Source organism: Homo sapiens, chromosome Y (genome assembly GCF_000001405.40).
Source record: "Homo sapiens chromosome Y, GRCh38.p14 Primary Assembly".
Lineage (NCBI taxonomy): Eukaryota > Metazoa > Chordata > Mammalia > Primates > Hominidae > Homo > Homo sapiens.
The window spans coordinates 22,438,418-22,454,891 of NC_000024.10; the positions used below are offsets into that span (position 1 = coordinate 22,438,418).

The following is a 16,474-nucleotide window of genomic DNA, read 5'->3' on the forward strand; positions in this document are numbered from 1 at the left end:
CCCAGAATGAAGAGAGGCAGTGAGGACAGGGGTTTGGCCATATTTCACTGACAACCACCTCTGGGGTCTCACTTATGATTCCATGACACAAAGACCCCTCAACAACTCACCAGACTCTATTCCAATCCCTATGGGACCTGATTCTTACAAATAGCCTCTTTCAAGAATGAAGTCAAAAGAGCAGTTTTGCATGACAGCCTAACAGTCTCAAAACACCTCTTCCTCCAGTGGGACCCGACCAAGGAGATGGATGGAAGGGGTCCTAAGGTTGACTTATTTAGGGTCCCCCAGTTGGTTATCACAGGCAGCCTTTCTCCTGATATGAGGCCGGCTCTGCCTATACCATTTTCCTTTGCTTAGGCAGAATGGCTGCTCTGACAGCTGAGCCCCTGGGCCTGCCTTGCGAATGTGCATCTGCTAGCCTCAGGGCACCACCCCTGAGCTGTGATCTTTGGCTTGCATCACAATCAATAACTCTTTGCCTAGTGAAAAGTCCCTGAGGCTTGGCAGAGAAGGAGACCTCCGTGAAGATGCATCATGGTGGACTGTGGTCTCTTCTCTGTGGAATCCTCGGGAGAGTCCCATGATCCTAGGAGAGGGTGAGAGGGCAGATGTAAGCCAGCATTAAGAAGCCTCAAGCAGAGCCGCAGGAATAATCCGTGAATTCCCTAACAATCCTAAAGGATCTGCAGGATGCTTCAGGCCTGCCTAGATGTTGTAGGGGTGAGTATTTTGAAATTGGTCCCACTGTGATTTCTACATACAGCATGCCTGTGTTCCCCGGGATTGCTCTCTCCCACATGGGGCTTCCTGCAGAACCACACAGCTTCAGAAGCTGCCAGGAGTGTGTTTCTGTGGGAGTGTTGTGAGTGTTGGATGTCTGCATTTGTGTGTGTGTTTCCCTGTTTGTGTGCATGCCTGTAAGTGGAATCTGCTTAAAAAAATGTGGCTAACACACTGCAGCGCTTTCTTGTTTTTGAGTCTCCCAGCCTTTTGGTGGTCTGTCTTTGTGGCTTTTCTTGGGCTGCTGGGTTCCATGTTCTTTATTTTTCTGCAGATCATGAATCCGCTGTAAATTGAGAGGCTGGCTGAGACCTGCCAGGTCCAAATAACCTCCCCCTGAGGAAAAAAAAAAGCCACTCTTCTAGAAAGAAGAGGAGCACATCAAACCCAGGAACAGAAATATTTCACTGCTTTATTCTCCAGTGTACATCCCATGGAGAAACACTAGCAGTCCAGTCCTCAGGGCCCCTTGAATTTACTTCATATTCAGTTCCTAGCTGAGCAGGACCTTCACGTCACTCCTTCATTGTCTTGGAATTTCATTTTGGGACAGATACTTTGAGCAGCCATAACATCAGATAAAGGTGAGGATACAAGCTGGTGAGGGGTGGATGCGGTCCCACACATTCACCTGCAAAAAATGTGAAGATAGATGTCACAGAATGTGCTTCCAACTGTATCCCCACATTTCCTTAATTACACAAGCAAGTCCATACCATGGCCTGGTGTACAGTTGAGAGCACCACAATGTGCAGGGAATGTTTGGAGTGCAAACTGGAGCCATCCTGGCAAACTCCCTATTTGAGGACTATCATACCAGGAGCTAAATGGAAGTGAGATCATTTCACGTGAGGTTTGATGTGGCCACCACACTTGTCTCTTTTTTCCTGACTTCCATGTACCTCATCGGCCTAAGTTCTCCTGGGCCTGGCTCCACATCTTCCACGTTAACCATTTACCACTTCACGGAAGATGACCCTCAAAGTAATCCATTTCATGAGTGTTTTCTTTTAAACACTGTCAGATTTTAATGACTAGGCAGTTTCGATAGTTTTAAAACTAAATTTCTGTAACAGTAGCCAACAAAGAAACTCTTGTTATCCAGCTTTTATCAGAGGGCTGCTTGATACCTGTAGGAGAAGCAGGCAGCTGTACCTGGCTTTTGCCTGGGAATTTAGGCTCTGTTTCATTTCATCTGCTTGTCTTGTTTCATTGTGGAGGGCTCTTTCATCGGGCTGTTGTTGGATGAGGCTACCTCTCACCACAGAATTATTGGCTTCCAGGGATTTCAGAGAGCAAAAGGGACTTTGGGTAGGCTGACTGCACTTTAGGTTTGGGGTCATGGTTTACTTGTGGGGGCTGAGATTGTTTGCACTTTTCAAGAGGCTTTTGGGTCCTGTGACAGAAATCTCTAAACGTGGCTTGGACTACAGCACATGGCAGCTCATTCTCTCATGTGAGCCTTGATTTTCCTTTGCTTTCATGGGGGGTCCACAGTGCCCTTCAATAGCACTACCTGACAAACATTTCAGGATTGCAATTGTCACAGATGTCCTCTGAGACACTGTCTCATCCTCACCTGCACCTGTGGGAGTCCACTTAGAGCTGTGAGAATACTGCTCCACCTTGGACTTGCCTTTGTCATGGTTCCTCCATTTCACCAAGAGCCCCTGCAAGACTCAGGATGAATGGAGGCAGTGAGGTTAAGAACCTGGCCATATTTCACTGTCACCCACCTCTGGAGTCACAGGTATGATTCTATCACCCAAAGAACCCTCCACAACTCACCAGACAACATTCCAGTCCCCCTGGGACTCAATTCTTGCACACAGCCTCTTTCAGGAATAAAGTCAGAAGAGCAGTTCTCAGAGACCCCATCACAGTCTAGACATCTCCTCCTCCAGTGGGAACAGATCACGGGTACAGCTGAAAGGGGCCCCAAGTATGAGACTTTTAGGGTTCCACAGTGGGTTATTGCATACAGCATTTTTTTTTCCCAGTACCAGGCCCACTCTTGCCTGTACCATTTTCCTCGGCTTAGGCTGGCTGACAGCTCTGACTGCCGAGTGCCAAGCCCACTGGTGAATGCACATGTGCTAGTCTCAGGGCACCAGGCCTGAGCTGTGAGCTCTGGCTAGCCTCACCATGAATGCCACAATTCCCTGAGGCTTGGCTGAGAAGGAGACCTCTGTGGAGGTGCATCAGCCAAGGAATCTTGCCTGTCTTCTTTGTGGGATACACAGGATAGTCTCATGATCCTAGGAGAGAACAGACGTGAGCTAGCCAGAAGATATGTCAAGCCAAGCCCCAGGAATAAACCGCAAAATCTGTAAGGTTCCAAAAGGATCTGCAGGATGCCTCAGGCCTGCCTACACATGTAGAGGTGAATCTTTATGAAACTGACACTGCTATGATTTCTAGGTGCACCCCGCTTGTGTTCCCCAGAGTTGCTGTCTCCCACGTAAGTCTTCCTGCAGAACCATACAGCCTCAGAAACTGCTGGGTGGTGTGTTTCTGTAAAATTATTGTGAGTCTTTGATGTCTGTGTATGGGTGTGGCTTTTTTTAGCACTGTGTGTTTATGTGTGTGTGTGTGTGTGTGTGTGTGTGTGTGTGTGTGCGCACCTGTAAGTGAAGTCTGCTTAAAGGAATGTGGCTAATGCGCTGCAGCACTATTTTTTTTTTTAAGTCTCCCAACCTTTGGGTCACATGCCTGTGTGGCTCTGCTTAAGCTGCAGGGCTCTGTGTTTTTTAATTTTCTCTGGATCATGAATCCAAAGTGTACTGGGAGGCTGGCTGTGAGACACCAAGGTCCACATCACCTCTGCCTGCCAAAAAAAGCTGCTCTTCTAGAAAGAAAAGGAGCACAACACACGCAATAACAGACATCCTTCAGTATTCCATTGTCCAGTGGTCATCCCAGGAAGAAACACTAGCATTCATGTCCTCAGGGCCCTTGAATTTACCTTGAATTCAGTTCATAACTGAGCAGTTTCTTCAGATCCTGAGAAGGCACTCCTAGATCATCTTGGGATTTCATTTAGGGAAAGAGAACATGAACAGCAATAAGGTCAGAAGGGGTAAGGATGCAATCTGGTGAGAAGTGGGTGGGGTCCCACACTTCCAATTGCAAAAAATGTGAAGACAGATGACAGAGAAAGTGATTCCAACTGCATTCTCAAATTTCCTTAATTACGCAAGTAGTCCACACTATGGCCTGATGTTCAGGTGGGAGTACTCCAATGTGCAGAGAACATTTGAAATGCAAACCGGGCCATCCTGGCAAACTCCCAATTTGAGGGCTTTCATACTCTGCTCCAAATGAAAGTGAGACCTATAGATACAACGTGGGATGTGACCTCCACACTTGCCTCTTCTTTTCATGTCTTCCATATTCCTTGTCAGCCTGGGGTTTCCTGGATCTGGCTCAACATCTTCCCAGATGGCTCAACGGTAAAGGTTTTCCAGTGTTTCCTTCTAAACACTGTCACGTTTTAATGACTGGGCAGCTGTGATAATTTTAAAACCATAAACTCCTTTTACAGCTGCCAACAAGGAAACTCTTGCTCTCCAAATTTTATTGGAGTGCTGCATGATTCCTGTAGGAAGAGAAGCAGGCAGCGATGTTTGGCTTTTTTCTGGTAATCTACACTGTGTTTCATTGCATCTGCACATCCTTTCTCATTGTGGAGGTGGTCTTTCATTGGGCTGTTGCTGGATGGGGCTGCCTCTTACAACAGATCTATGGGCTGCCAGGGATTTCAGTGAGCAAAATGGACTCTGGGTAGGTTTAGTGCCTCTCCAGGTTGTGGGTCGCTGTCTCGTTATGGGTTGTTTGCACTTTGAAGGAGGCTTTTGAGTTCTCTGACAGGAATTTTTGAATATTGCTTAGATTCCAGCACAAGCCATCTTTTTCTCACACACACACCTTGATTTTTCTTTGCTTTCCTGGGAAGTCCACAGTGCCCCTCAACAGCACTACTGGACACCCTTTTCTGGCTTGCCATGGCCACAGATGGCCTCTGAGATACTGTCTCAACCTTATCTGTACCCATGAGAGGCCAGTTTGAGGTTTGAGAACACTGCTCCATTTTGGACTTGCCTTTGTCTTGGTTCCTGTGCTTCACAGAGAGACCCTGCGAGGTCCAGAATGATGGGAGACAGTGAGGTTAAGGGCCCAACCATCATTCATAGACACCCAATTCTAGGGTCTCAGGTATAATTCCATCACCCAAACACCCCTCCTCAACTCACCAGACTACATTCCAATCCCCATAAGACCTGATTCTTGCACACAGCCTCTTTCGGAAAGGGAGTCAGAAGAGCAGTTTTTAGCGACCACCTCACAGTCTCTAAATGCCTCCTACTCCTGTGGGAACTGAACACAGAGACAGCCCGAAGTGACCCTAATTTCGAGCCTTGTAGGGTCCCGCAGTGTGTTATCACAGGCAGCCTATTTCCCATTACCAGCTGGCTCTACCTGTACCATTTTCTTCTGCTTCCACAGGCTGACAGCTGTGAAAGCCAGGCCACTGAGCATGCCCTCAAATGCGCATGAGCTAGTCTCCAGGCACCAGGCCTGATTGTGAGCTCTAGCTAGCATCACAATGAATGTCACCCTTACACAGCTACAAGTCCCAGCTGCTTGGCCAAGAAGGAGACCTCCATAGAGGTGCCTTGTGGTGGACTCTTGCTTGTCTTCTCTGGGGGATCCACAGGATAGATCCATGTTCCTAGGAGAGGGCAGACGTGAGCCAGCGTGAAGAAACTTCAAGCAGAGCCCAAGGAATAAACTGCAAAGTCCCTAAGGTTACAAAAGCATCTGCAGGATTTCTCAGGCCTGCCTAGATGTAGGGTTGAGTCTTTTTGAAACTCACCCAACTGTGATTTCTAGGTAGATCCCACTGTGTTTGCCGGGGTTTCTCTCTCCCAGGTGGGGATTTCTGCAGAAACACACAGCCTCAGAAGCTGCCAGGCTCTGTTTCTGAGGGAGTGTTAAAAGGGTTGGATGTCTGGGTGTGGTGTGGCTTTTTGGCTTTGTGTGTTTTTGTGTGTGTGTGCGTGCGTGCACACACGCATGCACCTGTTAGTGGAATCTGCTTAAAGGGATGTGGATAACACACTGCAGAGCTTCTTTTATTTGAGACTTCCAACATTTTGTTTGCCCATCTGTGTGGCTCTGCTTGGTCTGGAGGCCTCCCTGTTCTTTATTTTTCTGTGAATTATGAACCTGCGGTGAATTGCAAGGCTGGCTGTGACACGCGGGGTCCTCATAACCAACCGCTGGAAAAAAACAAAGCCACCCTCTAGAAAGATGAGCAGCACACCACAGCCAAGAACAGAAATCCTTCAGTGTGTCATTTTTCTGTGGCCATCCCAGGGAGAAACACTAGCAGTCCTGCCCACAGGGCCCCACGAATTTACCTCAATTTTGGTTCATAGCCGAGCAGATACTTCCCATCATCAGGATTCACTCCTCCATCACCTTGAGATTTCATCCTGGGACATACAGTGTGAGTAGCAATAAGGTCAGATAGCGTGAGGATACAATCTGATGAGGGGTGGATGGGGTCCCACACCTTCACCTGCAAAAGTATAAAGACAGATGACACAAAACGTGCTTCAAACAGCATTCCCACATTTCCTTAATTGCACAAGCAGTCCACAACTTGGCCCAGTGTTTAGTTGGGAGTACTCCAATGTGCAGGGAATATTTGGAGTACAAACTGCGGCCACCCTGGCCAACTATCGATTTGAGGGCTTTCATAGGCAGAACAAAATGGCAGTGAGATTGATTGATACAAGGTGGGATGTGGCCTCCACACTTGCCTTTTCATATCCTGACATACGTGTGCCTCATCATCCTATGGATTCTTGGGTATGGCTCAATGTCTTCCATGCTAAACATTTCCCAGTTCATGGAAGTTGACCCTCAGGGGAATACATTGAGTGAGTGTTTCCTTCTAAACACTGTCACATTTCAATGACTGGGCAGCTGTGATAATTTTAAAATAGTAACTTCCTGTTACTGCTGCCAACAAGGAAACTCTTGTTCTCTAGGTTTTATCGAAAGGTTAAGCAGGCAGCCGTGTCTGTATTTCACCTGGTAATACCGGCTCTGTTTCATTTTATCTGCACATCCTTTCTCATTGTGTAGGGGGTCTTTTATAGGGCTGTTGGTGGATGGGGCTACTTCTCACCACAAATTTATTGGCTGACAGGGATATCAAGGAGCACAAGGGACTTCAGGCAGGCTGGCCGCATCCCAGGTTCTGTGTCTTGGTCTCATTTTGTGGGATGAGGTTGTTTGCACTTTGCAGGAGGTTTCAGGGCCCTCTGACAGGAATCTTTGAACATTGCTTGGACTCCAGCCCAAGGCAGCTCTTTCTCTCATACGAGCTTTGATTTTTTTGCTTTCATGCCAGTCACTAGCACTACTGGACACCCTTTTCAGGGTTACAATCACCAAAGACAGCCTCTGAGACACTGTCTCAACCTCATCTGCCCCTGTAAGAGGCCAGTTTGAGGTGTGGTTCCCGCTTACCCGAGAGAGATCCTATGAGGCCAAGAATGAAGGGAGGCACTGAGGTTAAGGCCCTGGTCATTTTTAATTGACACCCATCTCTGGGGTATCAGGTAGGATTCTATCACCCAAAGACCCCTAAACAATGCACCAGACTACATTCCAATCCCCATGGTACCCAATTCTTGCACACAGCCTCTTTCGGGAATGGAGTCACAAGAGCAGTTTTTCACGACAAACTCACAGTCTAAAAATAGAAATGCATTCTCATCCTGCGGGACCCAGCATCAAAGATGGCCAAAGGGGCACTAAGGATGAGACTTTTAGGGTCCCAGAGTGGGTTATCACAGGTGGCATTTTCCTGGATAACTTTCTGGCTCTGCATGTATCATTTTCCTCTGCTTAGGCAGGCTGACAGCTCTAACAGCAGGGCCTGAAAATGCGCATGCTGTAGTCTTGAGGCACCAGGCCTGACTGTGAGCTCTAACTAGTGCCACAATGAATTTCACCATTGCCTAGTGACAATTTCTGCATCTTGGCAAAGAAGGAGATGTCCGTGGAGGTGTATCAGTCATGAATTCTCACCTGCCTTCTATGTGTGATCCACAGGATTGTCCCATGAGCCTAGGAGAGGGCAGATGTAAGCCAGCCTGTAGTAGCATCAAGAAGAGGCCCAGGAATAAACCACAATATTTCTCAGGATCCAGAAACATCTGCAACATTTTTCAGATGTGTCTAGACATTGTAGAGGTGAGTCTTTTTGAAACTTGCCCTATTGTGATTTCTAGGTACAGCCTGCCTGTGTTCCCCCAGGGTTGCTCTCTCCCAGGTGGGGTTACCTTCAGAACCAAGCAGCCTCAGGAGCTGCTGGGCTGTGTGTTTTTGTGACAGTGTTGTGAGTGTTGGATGTCTCTGTGTGTGTGTAGCATTGTGTGTTTCTCTGTGTGTGTTTGTGTGTGTATGTGTGCCTGTAAAGGGAGTCTTCTTAAAGCAATGTGGCTAACATACTTCAGTGTTATTATTATTATTGTTATTTTGAGTCTTCCAACCTTTTGGTGGCCTGTCTGTGTGGCTCTTCCTGGGCTGCAAAGCTTCATGTTCTTTATTTTTCTGTGAATTATGAATCCGACATGAATTGGGAGGTGGGCTGAGTCCCACTGGTGTCCAAATCACCTCCCCCTGCAGAAAAACCCACACTTCTAGAAAGAAGATGAGCACACCACATCAAAAAAACAAACAAACAAAAAACTCCCCCACAAACAGACATTTTTTGGTGTTTCATTGTCCTGCAGCTAAACAGGGGGAGACACTAGCAGTCCTGTGCAGAGGGCCACTTGAACTCACCTTGAATTCAGTTCCAAGCCTAGCAGGTGCTTCACATCATGAGGGGACACTCCTCCACCATGCTAGGATTTTATCCTGGGACATAGAGTGTGAGCAGCAGTAAGGTCAGATACAGGTGAAGATACAATCTAGTGAAAGGTGGTTGGGGCCCTGTAACTTCACCTGCAATAAAAATAAAGTCAGATGACACAGAAAGTGTTTCCAACTCCATCCACACATTCCCTTAATTGCAGAAGCAGTCCACACAATGGCATGGTGTTAAGGTGGGAATACTGCAACATACAATGGACATTTGGAGGGCAAATTGGGGCCATCCTGGCAAACTGCCGATTTGTGGGCTTTCATATTCAGAGATCAATAAGAGTGGAATGGATTGATGCTGGGTGGGATGTGGCCTCCACATTTTCCTCTTCTTCTTCTGACTTCTATATTCCTCACCTGCCTAGAGTTTCCTGTGTCTGGCTCAACCACTTCCACACTAAAGCTTTCCCAGTTCACAGAGTGTTTCCTTCTAAACACTGTCACCTTTTAATGACTGGGTAGCTTTGATATTTTAAAACTGAAAATTCCCATTACTGCTGCCAAAATAAACTCTTTTTCTCCCACTTCTTTCAAATGGCTGCATAATACCTGTAGGATGAACAGCCTTGTCTGGCCTTTGCCTGGTAATCTAGCCTCTGTTTCATTTCATCTGGATGGCCTTTTCATTGTGGAGGGGCACTTTCACTGGGCTGTTGCTGGATGTGACTGCCTTTTGCCACAGATTATTTAGCTGCCAGAGATTTTAGAGGGCAAAAGGGACTTCGGGCAGGCTCCTGCCATCCAGGTTATGGGTCGTTGCCTTATTGGGGGGCTAAGGTTGTTTGCACTTTGCAGGGGGCTTTTAGGTCCTCTGATAAGAATCACTGAACATTGCTTGGACTCCAGCACAAAGCATCGCATTCTGTCAGACATGTCTTGATTTTTCTTTGCTTTCATGGGTAATTCACAGTGAATCTCAACGGCACTAATATTCACCTTTTTTAGGTTTGCCATCACCACAGATGGCCTCAGAGACACTGTCTCAACCTCGTCTGTGCCCGTTGGAGGCCAGTCTGAGGTGTGAGAACACTGCTTCACCTTGTAGTTGCCTTTGTCATTGTAACTGCCTTTCCCAGAGAGCCCCTGTTAGGCCCAAGATGAAGGGAGGCAGTGAGATCAAGATCTCAGCCATCTTTTGCTGACACAAGCCTCTGGGGTTGTGTCAGCAAAATAATCCTTGACAACACACCAGACTATACTGCAATCCCCATGTGACCTGATTCTTGCACACACACATTCTTATTTGGGAATGCAGTCAGAGAAGCAGTTTGCAGCGACTATCTCCCAGTCTCAAAATGCCTCCTCCTCCGATGAAAAACTGACCACAGAGACAGCCTGAAGGGGCTCTGATGTAGAGACTTTTAGGGTCCCGCAGTGGGTTTTTGCAGTCATATTTTTTCCGATACCAGGCTGGCTCTGCCTGTATTATTTTTCTCTCCTTAAGCAGACTGACTGCTGTGACAAATAGGCACCTGAGCCTGCTTCACGAATGCACATACACTAGTCTCAGGGCACCAGGACTGATTGTGAGACCTTGCTAGCATCACAATGACTGTGGCTGCTGCATAGTGAGAAGTCCCTGTGGCTTGGCAGAGAAAGAGACCTTTGTGGAGGTGCATCAGTGTTGAACTCTCACCTCTCTTCTCTGTGAGATACATGGCATAGTCCCATGATCCTAGGAGAGGGCAGACTTCAGCCAGCCTGAAGAAATGTCAAGCTCAGCCCCAGGAATAAACCACAAAATCCCTAAGATCCAAAAGGATCTGCAGAATTCCTCAGGCCTGCTAGACATTGTAGGGGTGAATCTTCTTGAAACTTGCCCCACTATGATATCTAGGTACATCCCGCCTGTGTTCACTGGGGTTGCTCTCTCCCAGGTGGGACATCCTGCAGAATCACACAGCTTCAGGTGCTGCCAGGATATTTCTTTCTGTGGGATTGTTGTGACTGTTGGATGTCTGTGTTCGTGTGTGGCACTGTGTGTGTTTTGTATTTGTGTGTGCCCGTTAGTGGAGTCTGCTTAAATGCTTAAAAGAATGTGGCTAACACACGTCAGTGCTTCTTTTTTTTTTTTTTTTTTTTTTTTTTAGACTGTAACCCTTTTGTGGGCACCCTATATGGCTTTGCTTGGGCTGCGGGACCTCATGTTCTTGATTTTTCTGTGGATCATGAATCCACTGTGAATTGGGAGGCATGCCAAGACCTGCCGGCATCCAAATCAACTCCCCCTGCAAAAGAAAAGCCACTCTTCTAGAAAGAAGAGGAACACACCCCACCAAAAAACAGACATCTTCCTGTATTTTATTGTCCTGCAGCCATCTCAGAGAGAGACACTAGCAATCCTGTCCACTGGACCCCTGGAATTTACCTCAAATTAGATTCCTATCTGAGCAGGTACTTTACATCATGAGGGGACCCTCCTCCATCATCTTAGGATTTCATCCTGGGACATACAGTGTAAGAAGCAATACAGTCAGATGGGGTGAGGATACAATCTGGTGAGAGATGGATTGGGTCCTACAACTTCACCTGCAACACTGAGAAAGACAGATGACACAGAAGGTGCTTCCAACACCATTCGCACATTCCTTTAATTGCACAAGCAGTCCATACAATGGCCCGATGTTGAGGTGGGAGTACTCCAACACGCCAAAAACATTTGGTGTGCAAATTGGGTCCATCCTGGCTAACTCCTGATTTGATGGCTTTCATACCCAGAGTCAAACGGGAGTGCAACGGAATGACGCTGTGTGGGATGTGGCCTCCACACTTTCCTCTTTGTTTCTGACTTCCATTTTTCTCATCGGTCTAGGGTTTCCTGAGTTTGGCTCAATGAATTCCACACTAAACATTTCCCAGTTCATGAAAATCTGCCCTCATGGGAATCCATTGTGTGAGTGTTTCCTTCTAAACTCTGTCACATTTTAATGAATGGATCTCATTGATACTGTTAAAAGCATAAATTCCTGTTACAGCCTCCAAAAAGAAATTTTAGTTCTCTCACTTCCATTGCACAGCTGCATGATTCCTGTAGGATGAGAAGCTGGAAGCCATGCCTGGCTTTTGCCTATTAATCTAGCCTCTTATTTCTTTCATCTTCATGGCCTTCTCATTCTGGAAGGGCTCTATCATTGGGCTGCTGCTGGATGGGACTGACTCTCACCACAGGTTATTTAGATGCTAGGGATTTCAGAGGGCCAAATGGACTTTGGGTAGGCTGGCTGCATTATAGATACTTGGTCATTGTCTCTTTGTGGGGGTTAAGGATGTTTGCACTTTGCAGGAGGCCTGTGGATCCTCTGACAGGATTCAGTGAACATTGCTTGGGTTCCAGCATAAAGCAGCTCATTCTCTCAAGTGAGCCTTGATTTTTCAAGGCTTTCATGGGGCATCCACTCTTCCTTGTCAACAGCACTGAAACACCCATTTCACACTTGCGTCTCCACAGAGGGTCTCTGAGACACAGTCTCAACCTCATCTGCACCAAGAGAGGACAGTATGAGGTGTGAGAACACTGCTTCACCTTGGAATTGCCTTTTTATTGGTTCCTGCCTTTCCTAGAGAGGTCCTTCAAAACCCAGGATGAGGGAGGCAGTGAGATCAAGAGCCCAGCCATCTTTCACTGACACTTACCTCTAGGGTCTCAGGTATGATTCTATCATCTAAAGTACCCTCAAAAACACTCCAGACTATATTACAATCCCTATGGGACCTGATTCTTGCACACACCGTCTTTCAGAAATTGAGTCAGAAGACCAGTTTCCAGAGCCACCTCACAGTCTTGAATGGCCTCTTCCTCCAGCAAGAGGAGAGTGCCTGGATAGGCACTGAGTTTGAGACTTTTAGGGTCCCACTGTGGGTTTTCTCAGGCAGCATTTTTTGAGATACCGGGCCAGTTCTTTTTGTACCATTACCCTGAGCCTAGGCAGGGTAACAGCTCTAACAGCTGCACACTCGAACCTGCCCAGTGAATGCACATTGGCTAGTCTCAAGGCACCAGTCCTGACTGTGAGTTCTGGCTAGCTTCACAATGAACATCACCATTGCAAAGCGACATGACCCTGTATCTTGGCAGAAAAGGAGACCTCCATGGACGTGCATCGGTGGTGGACTCTTGCCTTTCTTCTCTGTGGGATCAATGCAATAGTCCCATGATCTTAGGATAGGGCAGACATAAGGCATTTTGAAGATACATCAAGTACAGTTCTGGGAATAAACCGCAAAATTTCTAATGATCCAAAAAGATCTGCAGGACTCCTCAGCCCTGCCTAGACGTTGTAGGGGTGAGTCATTTTGAAACTTGCTGCACTGTGATTTCTAGGTAAAATCTGCCTGTTTTCGCCAGGGTTGCTGTGTCTCAGGTGAAGCTTCCTGCAGAATCATGCAGCCTCAGGAGCTGCCAAACTGTGCATTTCTTGGAAATGTTGTGAGTGTTGGATGTCTGCATGTGAGTGTGACATTGTCTGTGTGTGCCTGTAAGTGGAGTCTGCTTAAAGGAATGTGCTAATGCACTTCAGCCTTTTTTTTTTTTTTTTTTTTTTGAGTCTCATGACCTATTTTTGGTCTGTGTGGTTTACATGGGCTGCAGAGCTCCATGTTGTTTATTTTCATGTGGATCATGACCCATCAGTGAACTGGGAGGCACGCCAAAATGCACCAACCTCCAAGTCACCACCCCCTGCAAAAAAGCCACTCTTCTAGACAGAAGAGGAGCACACCATACACACACAAAAAAACAGACATATCCCAGTATTTTATAGTCCTGCAACCACCTCAGGGAGAGACACTAGCAGTCCTGTAAACAAGGCCCCTTAAATTTACCTTGAATTCAGTTCCCAGCTGAGCAGATGCTTCCTGTCATGAGGGGCACTCTTACATTGACTTGGGATTTCATCCTGTGAAATAGAGTGTGAGGAGCAGTATGGTCAGATAGGGGTGAGGATACAATCTGGTGAGGGATGGGTGGGGTCCCACAACTTCACCTGAAAAAAAAATGAAGACAGATGACACAGAAGGTGCTTCCAACTCCATCCCTGCATTCCTTTAATTACAAAAGCAGTCCACACCATGACCCGGTGTTCAGGTGGGAGTACTCCAACATGCAAGGAACATTTGGAGTAGAAATTGGAGCAATCCAAGCAAACTCACGATTTGAGAGTTTTCATATTCAGAGACAAATGGGAGTGGAATGGATTGATGCTGGCTGTGATGTGGCCTTTACACTTGCCTCTTCCTATATTGACATCCGTGTTCTTCATTGGATTAGGGTTTTCTGGGTCTGGCTCAGTGACTTCTACAACAAATGTTTTCCATTTCACGGAGAAAGATCCTCATGAGAATCCATTGCATGGGTGTTTTCTTCTAACCACTGTCAGGTTTTAATGACTGGGAAGCTTTGACATTGTTAAAACTGTAAATTCCCATTACTGCCACCAACAAGAAAACTTTTGTTCTCCCATATCTACCAGGGGGCTGCATGATTCTTGCAGGATGAAAAGCACACAGATGTGTCAATTTTTCCTGGTAATCTAGCCTCTATTTCATTTCATCTGCATGGCATTCTCACTGTGAAGGGTCTTTTTCATTGGGCTGTTGCTGGATGGGACTGCCTCTAGCTACAGATTATTTAGCTGCCAGGGATTTCAGAGAGCAAAAGGGTCATCAAGTAGTCTGGCTGCATTCCATGTCATTGGTTGTGGGGGCTCAGAATGTTTGCACTATGCAGGATGCTTTTGGGTTCTTTGACAGGACTCACTGAACATTGCATAGACTCCAGCACAAGGTAGCTCATTCTCTCAGGCAAGCCTTGGGTTTTCTTCGTTTTCATGGGGAATCCACATTGCCCCTTAACAGCACTACTGGACACCATTTTCAGGCTGGCCATCCCAACAAACGGCCTCTGAGACACTGTTTCAACCTCATCTGCACCCAAGAGAGGGCAGTACAAGGTGGGAGAACAGTGATCCAACTCTGACTTGCCTTTGTTGTAGTTTCTGCCTTTCCTAGAGAGCCCCTGTGAGGTCAAAGTTGAAGGAAGGCAGTGAGGTCAAGAGTCTGGCCATCTTTTCATGATATCCACTTCTGGGGTCTCAGGTATGATTCTATCACACAAAGAACCCTCAACAACACACCAGTCTATATTTTAATCCCCATGGTACTCAATTCTTGCACACAGCCTTTTTCCAGAATGAAATCTGAAGAGCAGTTTCTAGAAACTATCTCACAGTCACAAAATGCCTCCTCCTCCAGTGGAAGTCGACCACCACGATGGCCTGGAGGGTCCCTGAGGTTGGGAGTTTTAGGACCTTGCAGTCTTTTTCACAGGCAGCCTTTTTCACAGGCAGCCTTTTTCCTGATACCAGGCCAACTCTGCCTGTAGCATTATTGTCTACTTAGGCAGGCTGATAGCTCTGACAGCCATGCTCCCCAGCTTGCCTCATGAATGTGCATGCACTAGCCTCAGGGCACTAGGCCTCATTGTGAACTCTGGCTTGCCTCAGTATAAATGTCACCATTATCTAGCAATAAGTCCCTTTGTCTCGGCAAAGGAGAATTCTGTGGAGGTGTCTCAGTGGTGAACTCTCAACTGTCTTCTCTGTGGGATCCATAGATAGTCCCATGATCTTAGGAGAGGGCATATGTGAGCCAGCCTGAAGAAACATCAAATACAGCTCCAGGAATAAACCACAAAATCCCTAAGGATCCAAAAGGATCTACAGGATTCCTCCAGCCTGCCTAGACATTGTAGGGGTGAGTCCTCTTGAAACTTGCCCCACTGTGATTTTTAAGTACAGGCCCCCTGTGTTCACCAGGGTGGCTCTCTCCAGGTGGGGCTTCTTGTAGAACCACACAGCCTCAGGAGCTCCTGGACTGTGTGTTTCTGTGGGAGTGTTGTGAGTGTTGAATATCTGTGTGTTTGATGTCTGTGTGTCTGTGTGGCATTGGGTGTGTGTGTGTGTTTCTGTGTGTGTGACTGTAAGTGCAGTCTGCTTATAACAATGTGGCTAACACACTACAGCATCTCTCTCTCTCCCTTACTTCTTTCCTTCCTTCTTTCCTTCCTTCCTTCCTTCCTTCCTTCCTTCCTCCCTCCCTCCCTCCCTCCCTCCCTCCCTCCCTCTCTCTCTCTCTCTGTCTCTCTTTCTTTCTCTTTCTTTCTTTCTTTCTTTCTTTCTTTCTTTCTTTCTTTCTTTCTTTCTTTCTTTCTTTCTTTCTTTCTTTCCTTCTTTCTTGTCTCCCAACCCGTTGATGGCCTGTCTATGTGGCTTACCTTGGGCTGCATCGCTCTGTGTTCTTTATTTTTCTGTGAATCATGAGCCTGCAGTGGACTGGGAGGCATGCCAACATGTGCTGGCATCCAAATAACATCCGCCTGCAAAAAAAAAAAAAAAATGCCACTCTTCTAGACAGAAAAGGAGCACAAATACTAAAGGTTTCCCAGTTTGTGGAGAATGATCATCATGGGAATCCATTGTTTAGTGTTTTCTTCTAAACACTGTCACAATTTAATGAGTGGGACATTTTGATAGGTTTAAAACCATAAATTCCTGTCACAGACACCAACAAGAAAACTCTTGTCCTCTCACTTCTATCAGAGGCCTGCATGATTCCTGCAGGATGAGATACAGGCAACAGTGTCTTGCTTTTCCTGGTAATCTAGCCTCTGTTTAATGTCATCTGCATGGCCTTCTCATTGTGGAGGGGCTCTTTCATTGGGATGTTGCTGGATTGGACTGCCTTTCAC

The 16,474-nt window shown here is 46.8% G+C and overlaps 2 long non-coding RNA genes across 2 annotated transcripts in view; one reads left to right on the forward strand and one right to left on the reverse strand.

Moving 5' to 3' along the window:
• Window positions 1-522: 522 nt before the first annotated feature.
• The window catches only part of LOC101929148 (uncharacterized), a 45,775-nt gene continuing 29,823 nt past the window's right edge, over window positions 523-16,474 (forward strand). Inside the window, exons 1-3 of the long non-coding RNA NR_110413.1 lie at window positions 523-723; window positions 1,058-1,367; window positions 7,915-8,055. This is a non-coding gene — a long non-coding RNA (uncharacterized LOC101929148). The remainder of the gene's footprint in view (window positions 724-1,057; window positions 1,368-7,914; window positions 8,056-16,474) is intronic.
• On the reverse strand, window positions 1,176-3,042 carry TTTY6 (testis expressed transcript, Y-linked 6). Its single transcript, NR_001527.2, has 3 exons — window positions 2,928-3,042; window positions 2,572-2,709; window positions 1,176-1,414 (listed from the first exon to the last, which is right to left on the reverse strand). It is a non-coding gene; the product is annotated as a testis expressed transcript, Y-linked 6 (long non-coding RNA).